Source organism: Homo sapiens, chromosome 4 (assembly GCF_000001405.40).
Source record: "Homo sapiens chromosome 4, GRCh38.p14 Primary Assembly".
Lineage (NCBI taxonomy): Eukaryota > Metazoa > Chordata > Mammalia > Primates > Hominidae > Homo > Homo sapiens.
In genome coordinates, this window is record NC_000004.12 from 100,867,973 (window position 1) to 100,892,492 (window position 24,520).

The 24,520-nt window shown below is 37.5% G+C and overlaps 1 long non-coding RNA gene across 1 annotated transcript in view; it reads right to left on the reverse strand.

The window, feature by feature from the left end:
• The window catches only part of LINC01218 (long intergenic non-protein coding RNA 1218), a 68,704-nt gene extending 56,554 nt beyond the window's left edge, over nt 1-12,150 (reverse strand). Inside the window, exon 1 of the long non-coding RNA NR_189167.1 lies at nt 12,032-12,150. This is a non-coding gene — a long non-coding RNA (long intergenic non-protein coding RNA 1218). The remainder of the gene's footprint in view (nt 1-12,031) is intronic.
• Nucleotides 12,151-24,520: the final 12,370 nt, after the last annotated feature.

Below are 24,520 nucleotides of genomic sequence, written 5' to 3' on the forward strand. Positions count from 1 at the left end.
TGGTGTGGATGTCCTTTTTGTTGATGTTGATGCTATTCCTTTTTGTTTGTTAGTTTTCCTTCTAACAGTCAGACCCCTCAGCTGCAGGTCTGCTGGAGTTTGCTGGAGGTCCACTCCAGACCCTGTTTCCCTGAGCATCACCAGCGGAGGCTGCAGAACAGCAAATATTGCTCCTTAATCCTTCCTCTGGAAGCTTTGTCCCAGAGAGGCAACCGCCTGTTTGAGGTGTCTGTCAGCCCCTATTGTGAGGTGTTTCCCATTCAGGCTACACGGGGGTCAGGAACCCGCTTGAAGAAGCAGTCGGTCCATTCTCACAGCTCAAACGTCATGCTGAGAGAACCACTGCTCTCTTCAGAGCTGTCAGACAGGTATGTTTAAGTCTGCAGAAGCTGTCTGCTGCCTTTTGTTCTACTATGACCTGACCCCAGAGGTGGAATCTATAGAAGCAGTAGGCCTTGCTGAGCTGTGGTGGGCTCCACCCAGTTTGTGCTTCTAGGCCTCTTTGTTTACACTGTGAGCCACTCAAGCCTCAGCAATGGCAGACGCCCCTCCCCCTTCCAGCTGCAGCATAGCAGGTGGATCTCAGATTGCTGCACTGGCAGTAAGCAAGGCTCTGTGGGTGTGGGACCTGCCGAGCCAGGCACGGGAGGGTATCTCCTGGTCTGCCAGTTGCTAAGACTGTGGGAATAATGCAGTATTTGGTCAGGAGTGAACCGTTTCTCCAGATACAGTCTGTCACAGCGTCCCTTGTCTAGGAAAGGGAAATCCCCCGGCCCCTTGTGCTTCCGGGATAAGGCGATGCCCCACCCTGCTTCAGCTCGCCCTCCATGGGCTGTACCCACTGTCCAACCAGTCCCAGTGAGATGAACCCTCAGTTGGAAATGCAGAAATCACCCGTCTTCTGCGTCAATCTTGCTGGGAGCTGCAGACCGGAGCTGTTCCTATTCAGCCATCTTGGCAGCAACCCGAATTGTTTTTCTTTTTAATTTCTTTATGTTCATTTTTAACTTTCCTTTGGAGCTCATGGAGCAACTTTATAATAAATATTTTGAATTTTTTATCTGGTATTTCAAAGATTTCATTTTGGTTGGATCCATTGCTAGAGAGTTAGTGTGATCCTTTGGGGCTGTTGTAAGATTTTTTTTCATATTGCCACAATTATTTTTCTGGTTGCTTCTCATCTGAGTAGACTCTTTATTCTAATTATTTTTGAATTCAGTTTTAATTAGACAGGGATTTCCCTCCTCTTGAGGAAGTGACTATAATGTGTATAGTTTATGATTGCATAGCTTTGGCTCCGGGTGCTTTCAGTGGTAAATACTTTGTATAAGTTCCCTGGTTATAGATAATCTTCATGCAATGACTTTCTCAGATGCTGCTTTCAGCAGCAGTGTACTGGGTGTAGGAGCAGTTTCACTATCTCCTGTGGGGCTGGAATGGCAGAGGTCTCATGAAGCTTACCTCACTCCCAGTGGTATGCACTTTACTCTTCCAGTATTTTTTTCACCGGGTTGAACAGTTCATCCTCAGGCCAATATTAGTTGTCCATGAGTAAGAACCAGCTGTGTCTGAAACAGGTGGGTATATGTGATATCACAGTGGTAGGTAAAAGTCCAGGCCCTGATGGAGGAAGTTTGAAGAGCTCCTAGTGAAATTCACTGAGGTCTTCACAGGGAGGAGGAATACAGCTGCCTCAGCTCTACTACCAGGCCAGCAGAAAAGCAATCCATCTCCCAGTCATGCCCTGGTCCTCATGTTCCAGATATTCAGATCAGACAGGCATCTCTCTCCATCTGCAGGAATGCTGATGTTCTGTGTAGAGAAGAAGGAGGTCTCCACCACTTGTGCAAGCCTCCCGTGTGGACGCAATCACCCCAAAATGCTCCAGAAAGACTGTCTACAAGTGCCCTCATGCCAAGCTCCCATGGGAGAAGTGCAAGCTGTGACTGCAGGGTGGGCAAGGGAAAGGAGAAGTCCCCTTCTTCAAGTCCTTTCATGATAACTGGTGTTGTTCAACTGCTGAAGCAGAACTCTAGGGAGCCCAGCACTGTATCTGTGCCTCTGCTGAAAGAGGTGCAGCCATTCCCTGCCCATGAACAGGAAGTTCTGGGACATAGAAAAGCCTCCCTTCTGGTATATTTTGTCCCACAGCATGCTCCCTTGGTGTGATACAGTCTCTCTTCCCTTGAAAATGGCAATCCCTGAGGGCCAGACTAATATGAATCTTGCTGCTCCTCTAGGTTTAGCCACTGTGGGGCTGCTGCAATCCAGGCTGGTGCTGGGGAATGTTTTCAAGGGATCTATTTACGTGAAGACCTGAAGATTGAAAGTTTCTGAGTGGAAAAATGTCCCACAATGAGTGTGCACTTAGTATGGTGCTTACTACTACAGGTTGAGTACAGGGCAAAAAGGGAGGGATACTAAATTAGGTGGTAGGCCAGTGTAATGCACTAGAGAAGTTCCAAAATCACAGTCCATTCCAGTGGGACCATGAAGGCAAAGAAGCTCTCTTTGAGTTCCAATACTGCAGTCTGCCAGATGAGCTAGAGAGGCTGAAAACACTCCCATCTGCCCTTTCCACAGACTTCTAAGTTTAAAAAGGTTTAATCTGTGCTAGTTTCTTGTTTCTTTCTTTTTTGTATGTCATAGATTCTTCCAGTGAACTCTCCAATAGGCTCTAGTACTCTCCTCTTAACACAATCTTTGGGCTATGATTTTTCCCCTGCAATTTTGCTTCTTCCTTCTGATGAGAACTGGTCCCTGAAATCTCTAGTCAGCCATCTGGAGAAGCTCTTCAATGCCTTAGGCAATGGATTGGTCTGCAGGATGTCTAGTGGCTTAGGGTCCAATCTTAGCTCCAGATGGCTACAACGTTGGGTGCTGCTGGACCAGGCTGACCTGTCCAGCAATACCCAACATGTGGGTCACAGAGAAGTGGCATGGACTTTGTAAGATTTCCTGGGTTATAAATAGCCTTACAGTGGTAACTTTCTCAATTGCCAGTTATAGTAATAATGTATTGGGCACTCCTGAGTAGCTGGGGTGGGGTAGGCAATGGTGTTAGCAGAGGTCACGCACACATTTTCTCCTCCCCAAGCACTGTGTTTTTGTGCAAGCAAATGTTGTAATGGGCTATGCCGATTGACCTCTGACCAAAAGGTGGCACTTGCAGCAAAGATCCAGCTGCAGAGGTGGCCATGGAATTTACTCTTGGCCTATGTTACCCAAAGGAAGTACTCAGCTGTCCCAGGCAATAGGTGGGGCCATGAAACTCCCAAAAATGCCTATATGTGTTCTGCTACTAAGAGGGGTGGATGAGCAAAGCTGGGTGGAAGCTGGGTCAGGCAAGTTCGCACTCTGGCTTCCCAAGTGTGTGTGCAAGCAAAGGATCTGACGGTGGCTGCTGGCGTAATGTACCAGGGAGAAGTAGAACCACCACTGCTGCCCAATAGAGTCATGTGAGGAGAGAGGGGCAGCTGAAAGCAGTGAGACCCACCCAGGTTCCACACCCTTGACATGGCATGTCTCACACCCTCAGACTTCTACTGGCAGAAAGCTGCAATAGCCAGCTGGATCCCAGGCAGTCTGTGCTCAGAATACAAAACTGCCCCAGGCCACAAGACTTTCCACCTGAGACAGAAACCTAAGTGTCACGCCACACCACTCCTGGTTTGGCTTGCGAAACATAGGCGCTCAGCTCACACACCCATGGCAGGAGAACACCTGAAAGAAGTATCCCATAAATCTCATTTAGATTAGTTATTTGACAGTATTGTTTAATTATTTTATATCATTACTGATTTTCTACCTCTCTATTCTATAAATTATTGGGAAAAGACTATTAAAATATTTAACTACAATTATGGATTTGTCCATTTTTTCTTGCAGCCCTATAATTTTCTTCATGTATTTTGAAGCTCTGTTACTGCGTGCATACATGTTTAGAAGTGTTATTTTCTTTTGAGAAATTAATTACTTTGTCATTAGGAAATAACCTTTTTAATCCATGATAATACTCTTTGATCTGAAGTCTACATTTTGTAATATTATTATAACTACTCCAGCTTTCTTTCTGTTTAATGTTAACATCATGACATATACACATATATGATGTTTACATGGATTCAGGCTGCTACCATTCTTTTAGTCCTTTTACTTTTCACCTATGTGGCCTTATATTTAGAGTGATTTTCCGGTAGGTATCAGATGGTTCAATTTTAAATAGCTTTTATGGTTGATGTGGCTATGTGCAGTCTTGACCTAACTTTTTAATGAAAAACTTTTGCAATTTCATCAACAATTTTTGACTTTACAAGTACATGTTAAAAGACTGACATCATTCAAATTTTTTTCAAAATTTTAAGTACTAAAGTGTTTAATAATCTTTATTTCATTGACAAATACAATATGGAATTTTCTTGTGATTGATGAAAGGCTTCTGAATCCAAATTTTTCTATATTGTTTCAAATTTGTGAAAAGCATCCATTATTCAGAGAAGACAGTTCATACCTAGTATGAATGTAACTGAAAGACACATCTGTCCCAAATGAACACAGGAATCCAATATATGTGAAGGCAGAGATTCAGGCTACCATTCTTGGGTTGTACACTAACTTATAAGTATGAAACATCAGCACCTCCAGACTTTGCATAGTTTTCTTGTCTATGACAGGCAGGGCAATGGTCTGTATCTAGTTGCTAAAGTAGATATCCAGATGCTAGTATACCTCCATAGTCACACTCAGCACTTAGTATTTGAGCACTCATTCCCAGCATCAAGTCACTTATGCTCTCTGGGAGAGCTTTCTTGCCCCAAATCCTCTGACTAGGGTTCCTGTGGCTATAGGTGACTGGCCCATGTGCTACAATTATCCCAGCTATTCTATTGCCCCAGATTCACCCCAAGGTGTAAAATATTTCTATACCCAATTTTATGGTGACGAAGATTCAGTTCAGGCTTGATCTGTCCTGATGTACCTCAATCCAATACCACAGGCATTTCACCAGTTCTTGCTGCCAGGATTCTGTCATTTAGAAGACAGCCTTCTCTAGGAATCACAAGGAATCCTAACCACTCTATGTGTTGTTTATCTGACTCATAGATCGCCATACCAAAGAGTGGGAATGCAAGCTGCCCGACCCCACTGCACTCATTCCTCAACTTTGCCATTTCTTCCATGTCTCTTTTTCAAGGTTTCCAGCAACATTCACCCAATTTTTTGACTTTGCCCATGCAGGAAGATGGTAAGGTAGAGGACAATTTAGGCAGCCCAAAAGTTTTACAGAGTGGCTGCCGAATATGTAAAATAGATCCTTCATTAAGCCTTGGTGGTGGTGGCTAGCCTCCAAGAGCTGGTATTGCTCTCAGCTTAGCAGCTATTTTTCTTCGCTGAAAGCTTCAATATCCAATTTTTAGACAACAGGAAAGATGTCATTTGACATTTCATATTATCTTGTATATCAGCATGCACTGATTTTCTTTCCCTATCACAGGAAATTTTGCCTTTGATTATTGTTTCTATTCTAATGATGTTATCTCTTCAGGGATAGCTAACTTCTCTAAGCTAAAGCTCTAATATTACCCATTCATTCCTTCATTCACTCACTCAATAGTTCATTCAATAAATATTTATTAAGTAAATAGTACCAGGAATCTTTCCAGGTATAGAGAGTATAGTGATGAGAAAAAATATACATGGTCTTTTTTTCCCATCTTAAGAAACAGCAAGAATGACAGGTAATTAAAGACATCATTCCAATAAAATGTGATATACTAGAGTATTTAGAGAGTACTAGGAAACAATAAATCAAGAGGGCTCAAACTATGTCAGTGAGTCAAAGAGAAACTTAGGTTAAAATTAGTCAGGTAAAAGAGGCAAGAAAAGTGTTCCAGGCAGAGAAAACAGCATGCCAAAAGGCTTTGGCAGCAAAAAAAAAAAAAAAAAAATGTGTAACATATTTGAGGAATTATAGATTCATGTTATAGAAAGTTCTACTAATGAAGATAAGAGCAAGATAGTGGCTAGGTCACTTAGGGTCAATTCAAGTTATGCATGGTTATGCATGGCCATGCATTGCCTATAATCTCAAAGACAATGGAAGTCAACAAAGCTCCTAAGCACTGAAATCATACAACTATACTTTGGGAGAATCACCTGGCTGCAGTGTACAGTTTAGACTAGAGGATGAAAAGATTGGTATCGGTAAATTTATTAAAAGTTTGCAATGGTCCAGGCCTGAGGGGATAGAGGGCTGGATTAGTTAGATTAGGGGCAGTTGACATAAGCAAAAATGGACACATTTGAGAGATAGTTAGCGAGTAAGCGAGTAGGCTCAAAAGAACTTAGATTGCTTCATTGTTAAGCCTAGAGTGGGGTGTTGGAAGATAACGGAGATGTTAAAGATAATTGGTTTCTATTTCTAGCCAACTTTAAATATGTAACACTGAAAGAAAGCTGATGAATCCAGAATTTGGAGATTCACTGTGAAAGTCAAAAAGAAATGTCCAATGGCTGGTTGTATATATGGCTCAAAGGTCAAGAGATGTCAAAGCTAACACAAATATTTGAGAGTTATCATATTTAACTTTTAAATTTCATCTCACATTACTTTTCTTTATCATTTTTTTCTGTCTTCCAGATGATCTTTTTAAGTTTGTGCTCTAAATCACTTCGTTTTCTGCTACCGGATTTTTATTAAATATGGTATCTATCCTTATTTCACTGAACTCCCTTTACACTTTATCTTTGCTTTCATAATTTGGTACCTTCTGTGGTTGTCTATTCACATTACATAGCTTTTATTGTATTGACACTGTCAAGCAGTTTTCAAACTTCTATTTAGGTTTCTATAGTAAAACATTTTGCATAATTTTTCATAATTATGCTCATTCATTCCCTGTTTAAGATTTTGCTTCCATTCCAATGTAATATAATCATTTTTTTTTTAGTGAGCCCTGTGTTATTTTGCCTTCTCATTCACCCTCAGTCCAGAAGATACTCTAGTTTTGATTCTCCCAGTAGCAGATTCTGGGGAAAAATATTGTAAGCCATGTACTTTATTTAGAAGGTATAGGAAGCACCAATAGAAGAGAGGGAATGATAAAGGTAAAGGAAGACAACATATAAAGGGTATATTGTTGGACCAGATAACACTGTAGGTAAATCTATGGGAAAACCCTAGGAACCAGTGTACATTACATACTTGAGAATTATCCCACCTTAGGTGAAAGCTGTGAGGTAAATAAATGCACATATTGGTAGTTGGAGGTCTGTCCAGTCCTGGAAGATGTTGACAGGACAGTGGGTCTTCTACAAAGACTTTTTTTTTGCCAGTACTCAAGAAGTGTGGATGTCTCTTTGTTCTTTTTACCTGTTGTTTTGTTTAATCCCCATTTGGGTGTGCTGCAATATAATTCTAAGGTTAACCACCTTGAGTTAGCATTGGACTCCACAGTTAAAGGCTCAGACACCCACAAGACTATACTTTAGATACAACCCACAACTTTGGGGTTCCTCATACCACCCACACTACTGACTGTCTACACATTCAGGGGTTCCCTTAACCTCCTCAGTTTTGATAGTTCACTAGAATGACTCATAGAACTCAGAAAAGTGCTATACTCATGAATACGTTTTATTATAAGGGATACACATAGAGTGATATCTGATAAGGAAATTCCATGCCCTCTGCCAGTGAGTCAGGGCTTGACACCCTCCCAGTACATCAGTGTATACCCCACTGAACTTCAGTGTCCAGAGTTTTCATCAGGGTTTCATTACATGGACATGATTGTTTGAATCACAGGCCATGTGATTGGATTTAATCTCTAGTCCTCATGCCTTCTCTGAAGGTTTGGAGGTCAGCTGATATCAAATGACTCAACATCTTCAAATCCTCTAATCCCACGGTTGGTCTTCCTGGGATGGCCAACCCCTATCCGGAGCCATCTCGCTAGCATAAGCTATCTAGGGCCCATCATGAGTCACCTCATTAGCATTAACTATCAGGGCCCACTACAAATGAAAAAGAGTTCCATCACTCTGGGAGTTCCAAGGATTTAGTTTCCCTCCCAGGAACAAGGGACAAAGACTAGATTAATTTTTTATTTTACTACACTTCTCCTTCTGGAGACAGTTGAATCTCCTTTGATCTAGATCTGGAGGGAGAGTTGGAGTTATATACTACTACTAAATTCTCATGTTTAGCAGGCATCAATTTAGTTTATTTTTCATACTAAGAATCCTTTCTTGCCACTACCTGATCCTCTGAAAAACTGGAGCACATTAAAACTATGTCCCCAGCATACATTTCTTTCTTCCAGGACCTCATAAAGGTACAAAATCCAAATGAATGTAGAAATATGAAAGAGTAATAGTACCCTTGGAGGAGAAGACAGATCTCCTTGTGTTTTGGGTCAACAAAGATCCTGGGTCACAGAATCACAAGGTAACTAGAGGGAGAAGCACAAATGTCATGCTTTTCTTTATCCTGATGAATTGGCTTTATTTTTCATAGAAATTTTCTCAGAGATTTTAATGATAGCCTTAGTTTTAGGGTAAGGTGTAAGTTTTTCCACTGTAGTAAGAAGTTGGGGGAAGCTGAATAAGAAGATGCAAACAAAGCATTATTTCAAAGCATAACTCCAGCAATTATTGTGCACAATTTAAAATGACATTCTTAAAAAACCTTACCATGTCTAATCATGTATCATTCTAGTTTTTGTATCTTTTAATTATTAACAAGCTCAGACTTGCCTTTTACTAGGAAAGTGATACAGCAAAGTTGGCTCATATAGCCTCTTCACACAGACACTCTCCTCAGGCAGAACTTTGCTGTTGAGCTCAGATAAACCAAATCTATACTCAAGCAATGTGCAGGCTTCCTTCCTCCCACAAACATGAAGGTTGTACTGGAAAAGAGGCATTTCATTCTCACCTGTCTTCTTTCTTTATTTTTCTTTTGTTTTCCTCTACTGGAAACCTCAACTAAGTTCTATATCTATATAGCAATATCTGAAGTCATGCATAAAATATAACCACATACCAATCCTACATCAACCTAATATTCTCCTTCCACAATCTGACTATTCCCTGTAACTTTCCTTAGTGTTAGCTAACAACTGGTATCATATTCTGTTCAGACTAACCCTCTGTAATGTCATCAATTTACATCCCAGGAGGATGAATTTGGAGCTATGCATTAAATATTTCATCAGGGTATGTGAAGTGTGATCTGTTGGATTTAAAGGTGAACAATCATCTCAGCTATCACACTCTAATATGAAATGTCTGTATTTTAGTTTCAAAAGACCATCAGGGAAAATATTATGCACAAAAATAATTTAAACAACATCTGCTCCAGTCACTGTTATAATTATCTCAGAGGCAACTGAAAGGATAATCACTTTTGTCATGTGAGAATACAGTGTTCTGTTCTAACTGGGTTAAGTACATGCCATGGCAGAACACAGAGAAAAGGCATAATAGGAAAATATGAATAGAAGATAGTTCAGCTATGATCCTTACAGCCTTATTTCATGAAAATTACAATTTAATCCACAGAGAAACTTTCTCTGACCAGTCATGATTATGTCAACTAAGCATTAGTCTTTGAGTCAATCCCCTGAGCTGCCATTCATTAAAGTCTTTCCGCTTTAATTTTCTCAACTCATAATAATACTCATCCCAAGAACATGGGCTCTGTAAGGTAGGTACCTGCCTTTTATCCTCTATTTTAGGCAAAGCACTTAGCTTACTAGAAGTACATACTTGACCCTTAATCAACAGTCATTGAATCACTCACGCATTCATTTAACAAACATTTAGTCTGATCTAGGCATGAGAGAAAGGTAGGTTATACATCATGAGGGCTATCACCACTTTAGTGAGAGAGAACAGGTCAAAGAAAGAAATATAAGGTAAGCAATTAGAATAGTCTCTTAAAATGGAGTTATGTCCTAAATGCCATTAGAACACTGAGAAAGGAGCCATTAATTCTGCCCCAAAGAGTTAGAAAACATACACAAAGGATTTGTATTAGTCTGTTTTCATATCAATATAAAGATACTACCTGAGACTGGGTAATTTATAAACAAAAGATGTTTAATTGACTCAGTTCCACATGGCTGGGGAGGCCTCAGGAAACTTACATTCATGGCAGAAGGTGAAGGGAAAACAATGCACGTTTTACATGGTGGCAGAAGAGAGAGAGAGTGAGGCCAAAACTGCCAAACACTTCTAAACCATCAGGTCTCAGGAGAATTCACTCACTATCACGAGAACAGCATGGGGGAAACCACCCCAATAATCCAATCACCTCGTACTAGGACCATTTCTTGACATGTGGGGATTCCAATTCAAGGTGAGATTTCAGTGGAGACACAGAGCCAAACTGTATCAGAATATGACATAAACTTGATCCTAAAGAATAACTGAAATTTACCAGATGGAGAAGAATGAGAAGGATATAACAGACAGAAGAAACAACATACTCAATAACTCTGAATAATATAAGAGTTTCTAAGGCTCATACACTACCTGATGTGGATTTCACCAGGTAGTAATGTGGGGGAAGAATAACAGGAGAGCATTCAGGTGAGCCAACCCAAGACCAAATCATAAAGGGTTTTGTATCTCACATACACACTTTCATCTTATAGGTAATCGGAAGCCATAGAACACTTTTAACAAGATCAATATTGTAGGATTAACAGATGACTTTTACATTAAATGGTTTTGTTAGAAAGTAGCCAAAGAAGGAGACTAGTTAGAAAATTCTGGCATTAATTTGTCAATATATGATGGGATATGTGCTAAGGCAACAGTAGAAATAGAAAATATATACAAATTTGAAAGATAATTAAAGGGGAGTATAGTTGGGGTTTAATGATTTTAGATTATTTTCAACTATGTGCCAGACACTATTCTAGACTCAGGATAAAACAGAGAAGAAAATTGACAAAATTGTCATTCCCTGATCTTGCAGAGCTCATAATCTAAAGGATAAAAAGATAAGGTGAGTTCTGTGAGATTCTCTTAGCTCCATTCTTCAGGGCCTACTCATCCAAACCCAGCTTCTCAGAATATTGGCTGCTGAGGGCCTACTTCAGCAGGCCCTCACTGTGAATTGCCTTTATCCAAGGTTAAGGCTCATCCCAGGGAAGGTCTATAACCTATGTCTAGCTGATGAAAGCATGTAAGAGTCCAGCACTACCCCTTTAGTTCAATTTGGGACAATGCCAAAGTTTCAGAGCCACTATAAAATTGGCTGTGGCCTCCACTGCAACATTACACATCTATGTATCTCTTTACCCAATCCTACCTTTCTAACTCCCTTACATATGTATCTCTCAGAAGCAATCACCAATAAACATCTGCACACAATCCTTCAGCTAAAAGTATATTTTCAGAGAACTCAGTTGAAGATAGTCAGTGCCAGGAGTGGTCTTAGAAAGCAGACTCTTTAGGAAAATTGATCACTTGTCAGAACATGGCAGTGAGAATCCCATTGCTAGAAATAGATGGAGTATGGATAGTCCCTGGCCTACTGTAATGGTGCAATTAACAAAACTATCACCAGTGGTAATACGTGACAAGACACAGGTGGAAGGGGTCACACTAGCTGATGAAATTGGTACTTGAGAGGTATGAGAGACACACTCACTGTGAGGACAATGGGATAGGGTGACTTGCTGAACACCACTGATTCATTAGAGACAAATAAAGACAGGCTCAGTATGATTAATCATCAATTCAAGACTTATTGTAAAAGTCAGGGTGCCTTGTAGGTTGCATTTAAAGTTCCTCACTTTCTAAAGCCAGAGGCAAAACAAAGCTGAAGACCAGGTGCTGGACTTAATCAAAGTGTTGCAGAGCTTCAGTGAAGGGAGGATCCTCAGCCCTTGTAGAATTTTTACTTCAAGGCCAGGACCCTATTCTGGAAATAGTAAGATATTAAAACTTGGAAAATCTATGAGAGTGCAGTGGCAGATCCCCTGAACCCACTACGCCTGAAGTAGAGGCCACTCACCTCTCTTAGTAGATTGTAGCTCCTCCTTACTGAAGATTATAAAGAAGCTTCATATGAGGCAGGTGACATAATGCAGTGCTCCTTTTTCTCAGCATCTACCATCCTGGCTGAGAATGAATGTCTAATTGTCAAACCCTGGCACAGATGTGCTATGCCTGATAAGGGAGGAAAGGAGCTACAGGAATTTGACTAATCTGCACTGCCAAGGGCTAGATAGAATACATGGACTGGACCCTGCTGGGGATGGGGCAATACTAGATCCCAAGGGTACTTGATACTGTATGTGGACCTGGCTCCCAGGGGTGCCTGTTAATGCACAAGGAACTGGTCCCTGAGTGCTCTGGATACTGACGGGAGAGTTTATCTGGAAGAGCACATTCTCATGGTAGAGAATTTAACACTCTGGTGAAGACCTCAAGAGAAAGTGCAAATGTGCTGCAAAAGTGACACTTAGAAGCTTGGAAAAAGTGACGGACACAGCTAATGGAGTAGAAATGTGAGAACTACTATGGTGACAGTTCATGGAGCAAAGGCTCCCACGGCTCAGAAAAATGGTCATGCTAAATTAGAAAATCCAGCAGATACTTATGTTCCTTTGAAGGACCTGGAGGACATGCCATGTAACAAAATAGACAAAGAACATGCTGGTGAAAGGGGCACCAGCCTCACTGAGAAGTTGACTGTGGTTGTTATTAATAGGCCAGCACTCATGGTAGGAGATGCTATCACAGGACTGGGCTACTTCATAGCAATGAGGGTGATGGGACCCTGAATAATGGAAGCTACATGGTATCACTGAACAGTCAGTAAACAAGGTAAGTCAATTATCACAATTAACAGCAAAGTCAGAGTGGTAATCAGGGACCCTGATACACAAATAACTTTTGGGATGGTTTATAGAATATTGGTCCTAGAGGCAAGATTAGGAATTCAACAAAAAAAATTTGCTTGAGTTATACCGTCAAAAAAATCCAGAGTTGATGATTATGAGACTAAAGGTAATTACCCTAGTAAAGAGTTATGATCCCTTGCCCGGCTTTTAGATATGGCCAGTTCTCAGAGAAATCCTGAACTCACTGACCAAGGGAAACATTAGTTCCCTATGATAAAAGAACACTGCAGCAAGACCACAACAAGCATAAGAAGTGTTAATTCCCCCAATTTTTTTTTTTTTTTTTTACCACCAAACGGTCCTACAGCTATTTATTCAGCAAACCATATGCTAGGAAAAGTAAAATACCTGGACCTTTCAGGGACTTTTGAACAGAGGCTAAATCAACACTGATGTCTGGAGATGCAAAATGCTACCAGAGCTCTCTTTTAGAGTAGGGGACAAATGGAGGTTAGTGGTAAATGGAGTTCTAAGCAGTAGTTAATGAGTTGTTCAGTGTGTCCACAGGATCCATGGACAACATCTGATGATCATAACTTGGGTTCCTATGTATACTGGTATGCTTTCTTATTAGCAGAACTATAACATTGGTTCACAGGTCTGTGGTATGAGAGTTATTTCAATAGTGAAATAACTCAAAAGTGAAAGCCTCTGTATCCCTCCCCCAGGAAAGAGAGTAAATTTAAAAACTACTAGTTTGTATGTGGGGAATGGCGAAGCTTAATGGCACTCTCAAAACCTTGAATGCAGGAGTACTGGTCAATATGGAAGCTATAGAAGTAATTTCAAAGAAAACATGGGAATAAAGGACTGACTGAGTGGGTTCAAGCAAGAGATTTGCTATGACAGCAAGCAGAAAAGTGGCTTTGAATGTGGATTGTAAGGGAAAGAAAAGAAAAAGATCAAAGTCACTAGCTTGTTTGATTAAATGTGTGTTAGTATCATTAATCAAGATTAAAAATTGATATGGAAAGCCATTAGGCTTTCAAAATTTGAAAGGGGAAAATAATGGTTTATTTTGGAGCCTGTTTGGTTTGAATATAGAATTGCCTAAGCTGGGCAAACCAGAATCAGGGGCCGCAGATCTCAGAACAGGGCTGGAATCTCAAGAGCTAAGATGGTCATAAGAGAGACTAGGACTTTCCCCTAGTAACCAGAGGGGTTCTGGGGATATCAGGTTTGATTTGCCATGAAAATGGGGCTGGCTTACTGTGCTAGGGAGCTAGGACTGAGAAAAATAGTCTCGATACCTTGGGACAAGCATATTTGGTGGGGGTAGAGGAAGAGTTCCAAAAGGGCCAACACAAAGGAGAAGAAATAGAGCAAACTGTGCTAGAGAGTAAGATAAGCTCAAGGTGAATGGGAAAGCAAAGCTGTGATAATTGCATTCCTGATATTGGCCCTTAGGAACGCTTCTGGGTAGACCACAGGAAGGATGGAATGCTCATAAAGGCAGAGACTTGGGAAAATACAATCATTTCATGGTATACAATCAAATATTATTATCTTCATCTCCTAACAGCTTTTTATTCTGCTATTCTTATTAATTTTGGTCTGTTAGAAACCCAACTCCAAAAGCCCTTAGTTTTTTTCATCAGTTTGGTAAACACCTACCTTTTTCTTGGGGTATGTACGAGATTGGGGTCAGGCCTAGGAGCAGAGATAAAACAGGATCCAAAACCATAGCTGTCGTGGCGATTGCCTCTCACCCATGGTGTCTGGGGCTAACAGGGAATTTAGAATCTGAGCAGATCTATGGACTATAATGAGTTCCATATTGTATATAATGAGTTTAAATACCTGGCCAAGTGGAAGTATAGGTTTAAAACTCAAGATGTTTTCAACAGAAGTAAAAATTACTAGTACCTGAATATTTTGTATTTTGCTCCTCCTCCCTTCAAATGGGGAATCATTTTTTTCACACTTGCCCAGATTCTCCTTTCCATACAGGAGTTGGTAATGAGTGAAGCCCAGAGAACACCACAAAAAATGAGGAAGTGAAGTTAATGTACATCATAATGAGCTTGAAGTTTAAAACAGAAAAATAAGGTGGGCTAAATGCTGAGAAATGGTTTTGAGAATTTGGAGTCCAAAATGGAAAATGGAATGTTTCAGGGAGAAACTGCTGTCTGCTTCAGGATCCTCAAAGTAGCAAAAGTAGAGGCAACATTTTAATTGTGTATGGAGAATGTTCTCATTTTATGTACTTCATTGAGAGGCTATTTAAAGACAGAAGAACTTTAATTACTTTAGGGCTAGTGGCTGTTGTTTTTTAAATTGCAACATCTTTACTAAACAGGTCTATATAGTCTTTATTTTTATTATTTTTTAAATTTTTGTGGGTACATAGTAGGTGTATATATTTGTGTGTTACATGAGATATTTTGATACAGACGTGCAATGCATAATAATCACATCAGGCTAAACGGGGCATCCATCACCTCAAGCATTTATCCTTTGTGTTACAAACAATTCAACTATACACTTTTAGTTATTTTTAAATGTACAATTACATTATTTTTTTACTTTAGTCACTGTTGTTCTAGCAAATTCTAAGTCTTATTCATTCATTTAATGTTTTGCTACCCATTAACCATTCTCTATTCCCACCCAATCGTCACCCACCAAATACCCTTCCCAGCCTCTGGTAATCATTCTTCTATTCTACAACTCTATGAGTTAATTGTTTTAATTTTTAGCTTCCGTAGATAAGTCAGAACGTGTGCTATTTTTCTTTCTGTGCCTAGATTATTTCCCTTAACATAATGACTTCCATTTCCATCCATGTTGTTGCATATAACAGCATCTCATTTTTTTTACAGCTGAATAAAACTCAATTGAGAGAATTTACCCCATTTTCTTTATACATTCATCCATAGGTTGCTTCCAAATCATAGCTATTGTGAATAGGCTGCAATAAACATGGAAGTGCAGATATCTCTTTGAGATACTGATTTCCTTTCTTGTGGGTATATACCTATCAGTGAGATTGTTGGGTCTTATAGTAGCTATATTTTTAATTTATTGAGGAACCTCCAAACTGTTCTCCATAGTGGTCATAGTCATCTACATTCCCATCAACAGTGTACAAGGATTCCCTTTTCTCCATATCTTTGGCAGCATTTGTTATTGCCTGATTTTTTGATAAAAGCCATTTTAACTGGGGTGATATCTCATTTTAGTTTTGATATTCATCTCTCTGATGATCAATGATGTTGCGCACATTTTCATGCACCTGTTTGCCACTTTTATGTCATCTTTTGAGAAATGTCTGTTTAAATCTTTTGCCCATTTTTCATTGAATTATTAACTTTTTTCCTATAGAGTTGTTGCTTATATATTCTGTTTATAAATCCTTTGTCAGATAGTTTTCAAATATTTTCTGCCATTCTGTGAGTTGTCCCTTCACTTTGTTGATTTCTTCCTTTGCTGAGCAGAAACTTTTAACTTGATTTGATCCTATTTACCAATGTTTTCTTTGGTTGGTTCCCTGTGTTTATAGGGTATTACTGAAGAAAATGTTGCCTAGTCCAATGTTTTGAAGATTTTCCCCAGTGTTTTCTTTTAGTGGTTTCATCATTTGAAGTCTTAGATTTAAGTTTTTAATCCATTTTGATTTTTGTGTATGATGAGAGACAGGGGTCTAGTTTCATTATTTTGCATATAAATATCCAGTTTTCCTAGAACCATTTATTGCAGAGACTGTCATTTCCACAGTGTACGTTCTTGGAATTTTTGTCAAAAATGAGTTCACTGTAGATGTATGGGTTTGTCTCTGGGTTCTCTATTCTGCTCCATTGATCTATTCTGTTTTTATGCCAGCACCATGCCATTCTGGTTATTACAGCTCTGTACTATAATTTAAAGTCAGGTAGTGTGATTCTTCCAGTTTTGTTCTTTTTGCTTAGGATAGCTTTGTCTATTTTGAGGTCTTTTGTCGTTCTATATCAGTTTTAGGATTTTTTTTCTACTTCTGTGAAAAATGTAATTGGTATTTTGATAGGGATTGCATTGAATCTGTAAATTGCTTTGGGTAGTATGAACATTTTAACAATATTGACTTTTCCAATGCATGAACATGGAATGTCTTTCCACTTTTTTTGTGTCCTCTTTAATTTCTTTCATTAATGTTTTATAGTTTTCATTGTAGAGATTTTTCACTTCTTTGGTTAATTCCTAGGTATTTTATTTGTAGTTATTGTAAGTGGGATTACTTTCTTGATTTTTTCAGATTTGTTCACTGTTAACATATAGAAATGTTACTGATTTTTATATATTGATTTTTGTATCCTGCAACTTTACTGAATTTTTTTATCAGTTCTAATTGTTTTTTGGTTAGGTCATCAGGTTTTTCCAAATATAAGATCACATTATCAGCAAAGATAATTTGACCTCTTTCTTTACAATTTGGATGTTCTTAATTTCTTTCTCTTGTCTGATTGCTCTACCTAGGACTTCCAGCACTATGTTGAATAACAGCGTTGAAAGTAGGCATCCTTTTCATGTTCCAGATCTTAGATAAAAAAGGCTTTACAATTTTTCCTATTCAGTATGATACTACCTATGGGTCTGTCTGTCATATATAGCTTTTTTTATGTTGAGATATAATCTATCCCCAGTTTTTTGAGGGTTTTTATCATGAAGGGATGTGGAATTTTATCAAATGCTTTTTGGCATCAATTAAAAAGATCATATCGTTTTTGTCCTTCATACCATTGATATGATGTATACATTAATTGATTTGCATATATTGAACCATCCTTGCATCCCTGGAATAAATTCCATTTGGTCATGATGACTGATCTTTTAAATGTGTTGTTGAATTCTGTTTGCTAGTATTTTGTTGAGGATTTTTGCATCTATATTCATCAGTGATATTGGCCTATAGTTTTCTGTTTATTGCTGTGCCTTTGTCTGGTTTTGGTATCCAGGTAATACTGGCCTCATATAATGATTTTCCCCCTCCTCTATTTTTCAGAATGGTTTGAATAGGATTGGTATTAGTTCTCTCAATGTTTGGTAGAATTCAGCAGTGAAGCACTCAGGTCCTGGGCTTTTCTGTGATAGAAGACTTTTCATTACAGCTTTGAGCTGACTACTTTTTATTAGTCTGTACAGGTTTTGGATTTCTTCATGTTTCAATATGGGTAGGTTGTGTTTGTCTAGGAATTTCTCCATTTTTTCTAGATGTTCTAATTTATTGGCATTTAGTTGCTCATAGTAGCCACTAATAATCGTTTGAATTTCTGTAGTACCAGTTGTAATGTCTCCATGTTCATCTCTGATTTTGTCTAGATGAGTCTTCCCTCTTTTTTTCTTAGTCCATCTACAGGTTTGTCAATTTTGTTTATCTTTCTGAAAAACAAACTTCATTTTATTGATCTTTTGTATTGTTTTATTCATGTCAAATTAAGTTATCTCTGCTCTGATATTTATTATTTATTTTCTTCTACTATATTTGAGTTTGGTTTGCTCTTGCTTTTCTAGCTATTTAAGATGCATTGTTAGGTTGTTCATTTGAAGTTTTTCTTCTTTTTTGATGTAGGTACTTATAGCTGTAAATTTCCCTCTTAGTCCTTTTTTTGCTGTATTCCACAGGTTTTGATATGCTGTGTTTCCATTATCATTTGTTTCAATAAATTTATTCAATTCTTTCTTTATTTTTTCATTGACCTACTGGTTATTCAGGAGCATATGGTTTAACTTCCATGTGTTGGTATAGTTTCCAAAATTCCTCTTGTTATTGATTTCTAGTTTTATTCCATTGTGGTCAGAGAAGATGCTTCATATTATTTCACTATTTTTAAATGTTTGAAGACTTGTTTTGTGACTTAACACATGATTTATCCTTGACAATGATCCATGTGCTGAGGAAAAGAATTTGTAACCTGCAGCCATTGGATGAAATGTTCAAATGTTCAATAAGTATCTGTTAGGTCCATTTGGTCTATATTGCAGATTAAGTCTGTTGTTTCTTTGTTGATTTTCTGTCTGGGAGATCTGTCCAATGCTGAAAGTAGGGTGTTGTAGTCTACAGCTAGTATTGTATTGGGCCCTATCTCTCTCTTTAGCTCTAATAATATTTGCTTTATATATCTGTGCTCCAGTGTTGCGTGCATATATATTTACTATTATATCCTCTTGCTGAATTGACCCCTTTATCATTGTATACTAACTTACTTTATCTCTTCTTATAGTTTTTGTCTTAAAATCTATTTTGTCTGATAGAAGTACAGTGACTCCTGCTCTTTTTTGATCTTCACTGCCATGGAATATCTTTTCCATCCCTTTGTTTTCAGTTTGTGTTTCTTTACAGATGAAGAGTTTCTCATAGGCAACAGATCATTGAGTCTTGTTTTTTTTTTTTAATCCATTCAGCCAGTCTATGTCTTTTGATTAGAGAGTTTAGTCCATTTACATTTACATTCAATGTTATTATTGATAAGTAAGGACTTACTCCAGTCATTTTGTTTTTTGTTTTCTGGTGGTTTTGAAGTCTTCTCTTCCTTCTTTCCTTTCTTCCTGTCTTCCTTTTAGTGAAGATGCTTTTCTCTCGTGGTAGGATTTAATTTCTTGCTGTTTATTTTTTTGGGGATCAAATGTATTTTTTTTTATTTAGGTTACCATGAAGCTTGCAAACACTATCACAACCCATTATTTTAAGCTGATAACAACTTAACACTGTTTACATAAACAAATAAAAAGAAAACTAATAAAAAGTCTACACCTTAACTTCATCCCCACACTTTTTAACATTTTGTTTCTATTTATGTCATATTGTACTCTCTATGTCTTGAAAGGTTGTTGTAGTTTACATAGTCTTTATTTCAAGATTGTTTGCATGACAACCTTGTACTAGGTGTTATTCATGTGATTTTACCATCCAATTTATATTCACGTTATCACCAAAGATTACTGCTTTTTGTTATGAAAAGGGATGGGAGAAATGGAACTGAACATAATCCATGATGATGAATTTGTGCCAGCTAAGTACAAATGAGATCACAATGCCCTAAACAAAAAAGTGGTTCCCAGCAGTTAGAAAACAGAAAACTAGCTGAGAAAATGAGTTGCCATAGCTACCACAGCAGTAGAGCAACATGCAATTTAAAGGACTCTTGTCTTAGCAGTCCTCACTAAATTCAACTCTTGAGTAAGAATATAATATTTTCATCAAGACAATATAATCTACATTGTTAAATTAATGATGCTAATTTTAAAATATAGTATTTTTAAGGAGTTTATAATTTACAAATTTGTCTTTTTTAAGATATTGATTCACATCTGAACATGTTTAAGTGATGTTTTTATTAAAATAATTTATATTAATATGGGAAGAGAAAGAATTTTGCTTCTAAAAGTGATCCTCATTTTATTAAGTTTGAGAAACAATTAGAATACAACTAGCTATAATGCAAGGAACGATTAAAAAAAAAAAGTGCTCTCAGACAGGCATAGGCCACAGAGGGAAACTGGCAAAAAGCAGAAAAGATGCCAGAGCAGTTCTAGAGAGAAGTAAAATGTTTAGGAACTATCAGTCAAACCCACAGAAATTTTTCTCATAGCCAGCTTTTTAAATTTCAGATAATTATATCTCAGAGTTTTAATTTAATAATACCCATTTAGGTTTATAACATTTTTCATCATGTCACAAATTTATATGGCAGTTACAAATGATTTTGTGTTTTGTCTGAGCAACCACTGCATTAACTAAATGTGAGAAGCATCTTGGTTCTCCTGGCAACTGTAGTTTAAAATAAGGTAGTCATATTCTAAACAATGTGCTGAAAAGTGACATAATAAGGTATTATAATGTTGTTATAACAACTGGAACATTTTGACTTAAACATTATGGATCCATAATTTTAAATCATACCTAAGCAAAGAACACTGTATCAATAAGTAAGCCATCCTTATTCAGTTATTTCTACTCATTCCTGAATGCCTTCCTTTAACTCTCAATTTATCACTTATCCCATGTGATTTTTTGAGTAATTACAATATTCAAATCTTTAGTCTGGAGGGAATTACAATAGGATTTTGTCCCTTTTCATCCTGACTCTTGTCTTGTCACTATGGCTTCTCCTATTCAAACTAAGCTCCAGCCAAATTGAAATTTTTCCATACTTCGAGCAGGGCATAATCTTTCTAATGTTAAACATCTCTCTCAAATGTTCACACCATGAGTCCAACCAATTCAGCATCTTTTCCCCCAGACATCTTCCCACTTAGATAAAGATGCCAGATTCAGCTAATAAAAATACAAGACATCCAGTTAAATTTGAGTAACAGATAAGCCTTTTTACCATAAATATAGTTTATATATTGCGAAGGACATACTTCTTATACTAAAAATTATTTGTTGTTTATCTGAAATTCAGATTTTACTAGATGTCTATATTGCACCTGAAAATCCTGAGGCTGGAAGGACTCTCGATGCTACAGTTTTTCATTTCTCTTAATGCATATCCTCTCCCACTGGCATGGCTAAAAAAAGTGAGGCTTCTATATAGAAAAGTGAGAAAATGGCAACTTTTGGTGTGGCATCAATGTCTTTCTCCTTGCTGATACCCTGGCCCACTTTCCAAACTAATTTTACAGCCTACACGTCCATGTTAGTTAATACAGTTTCTTTTTCTAGATCCCTAACCTTCTAACCCACTCTCAGACTGTGTTGCATGAGAACCAACTTTTGAAAAGTCTGCAGCCCTATATTATCTCATCTGAGTAGCCCAGAAAATCTCAGTTTCAGAAACTAGATTAAAGTGACCCTAGGTTGCTTGCACACCTGAAAGCTGCAGAGGCAAATGAAAATCCTCTTTAATAAAAGAGAACACAATCTTTGGTAGAGTATTAGTGCTACTCGCTCATATTTTTAATTATCTTTTATGCACAGGAAAAACTTGCTTTTCCCCATCCATTCAAGTTTGGGAGTAGCCATGTGACTTGTCTAGACAATGAAGTATTTAAAACCGGTACACAATTCTCCGGTTTCTCTTCCTAGCCATATATATGGCCAAGAAAGATAAAATATGGGGAAAAAACTCTCAAAGGGAACAGCCAGAGACCACAGAGAATAGTGGACTGGGGAAGGCTTCCCAGGTAGCAAAATTGTCTAAATAAAAAATTATCCAAATAGGGACCTGTTGAAATGTATTTTCAGGATGACTTCAGTATTACTATGACTCAGTTACTTCTGCAGGTCTCCCACTCTTTTTCTTTCAAGATGAGAGTGTTTTTTGTAATGATCCAATCCCCATTTCATGACTGTCTATTGGTTTGGAGCAGAAGATAACTTTATATTTTTAGTTCATTGATCTCTGGATCAATAGATCCACATCTAGATTTGATGTAAATATTACTATCCATCACACTCTAATGGAGAGACTACCATACATCACCAAAAAATCCTGGATTTTCAGCTCAATGATATGTTTGGAGAGGATTTCAAGTTAGTGACCTTTGAGTTAAGAGTGTGTGTATTTGACATGCAGAAAAGAGACTGAACCTAACATCTAACATCTGGTAACCAGAAGAGTACTCTGCAGTAGACATTAGTACTACTCTCCACCAGTTTTCCTCCCTTTCTAGGCCCATGGAACAATTGCATTTGCCTGTCCCCTTGCTTTAGCTAATAAAATGAGAATAGAAGTGATATGTGTATTTGCAGGTAGAAGTATTTATAGTACAATTTTACAATTTTTCCCCATCTTGGCAATTGTGGAAGCAACTGTTAATATGAAGCTGTCATAAGATTAGAGCAAACTGAATCATTAAATCAACATGTGAAATATAGCAACACTGGAGCATTATCTGGTCCCCCTTGCATGTTAACCTACTGACATTGAGGTTGTTAACACAGCATAACAAAGGTAATCTGATACTTTAACATAGGCTAAAAAGTATTTCTATGTTTTCAATACACTGTGCAGCACATATTCAAAAATAATTCATACAAGAAAAGACATCATAAACAAAATCCAGTGGAAACAACAGACAATATAAACAGATCTATGGAATCTCCAGAGATTATATTAACAAACACAAATTTTAACTATGCTTATTAACTTTTTATTATTAACTCTACCTTAGTTCAATAGTGATTCAGAAACATCCATTTTATAGCTTTAATCCTATCACATTTTTTGAGAGCTTCTTTATTGCTCAGTGTATAATAAAATTTGTTTAATGTTCTATGTATGTTTGAAAGAAATGCATATTCTACAACTGTTGGGCATAGTGTTTTACATATGTTAATTAAGTCAATTTTGTCATACTTTAAAAAATATTCTGCATATTCTTGACTTTTTTCTCTTGTTCTATCACTAATGAGATAGAACAAATTGGAAATATAGTGATAAAATCTTCCAGTATGATTTTAGCTTTGTCTATCTCCTCTCATGGTTCTGTTAATTCTTTCTTTTCTGTATTATAATTTTATTGCCTTTGTTTGAAATTGGAATTAAATTGAAAATTCTATTGATTTCCTTGTTAATTAAATGTTTTGTCATACCAATTGTCTTTTTCTCCAAAGATATATTAAATAAAGTATACTTTAAGGCAAAAAGTAATATACTTGTAAATAACATGATGCAAAGAAGAAATCACAATGGATATTACAAAATATTTTAAATTAAATACACTTCAAAATACAACATAGAAAAACTTTTAGAATAAGGCCTAAGGTACATTTAATGGGGAATTTATATTTTTAAATTATTAGAAAATGAGAAATGTTAAATATCAGTGGTCAATAAGTTAGAAAAGGAATAACACTTAAACATGCATAATGTAAAAGGAAAGTAATACAAAATATAAAGTATTCCCTTCCAGTTACTTATTTCCTGTTATTATAGTTTCCTTTCAGTACAGCCTGTGATCAATAGTGGACTCATTGTGTTTTTTATTCATAAATATCTTCATTTAATAACAATGATGATAATAATTGAGAAATTATGTGCCAGATACTGTATAAAAGTTTGACATGCTATATTTCATTTAATCCTCTGAATAATTCTATGAAGAAGGAACTATAGTTTTTCCTGTTCTACAAATGAGAAAACTGAAACTTAAACAAAAGTTGTGTAATTTGCCCGAGGTCAAACCAGGTATTCTGACTCCAGAGCCAGCACTCTCAACCAGAACACTACATACATGGCTCCCACTGTCTCTTACACACACACTCATGCATATACACACAAAGCACAGTCAAGAAAGAACCCACTCTTCCACTCCTCAGATTTCCTAGAGGCCGGCCTGTAGAGATAACTGCCAAAATATAGATGTTTTGTCTACAAGAGCCATCTAGCTATGCCACATATGAGATAAATGCCAAACTTTTTGGACTTCTAAAATATATAAATATTTTTGTATGTCTCTAACTCTTTCAATTGTAGAGTCAAAAGAATTGCTAGTAATTTTCTACTCCCACAAATGCAGAAAATCCCTTTCACTGTGTAGGATAAACATACTCCTTGTCTGACCAACTCTAAAAACACAAGTTCCTTCCTCAGCAGACCATTTTGAAATGCTGTTTCTTATAGTTCCCTCTAGCCCAACTCCACTCATGTTACTTGCTTATATTCTCTCATATTTAG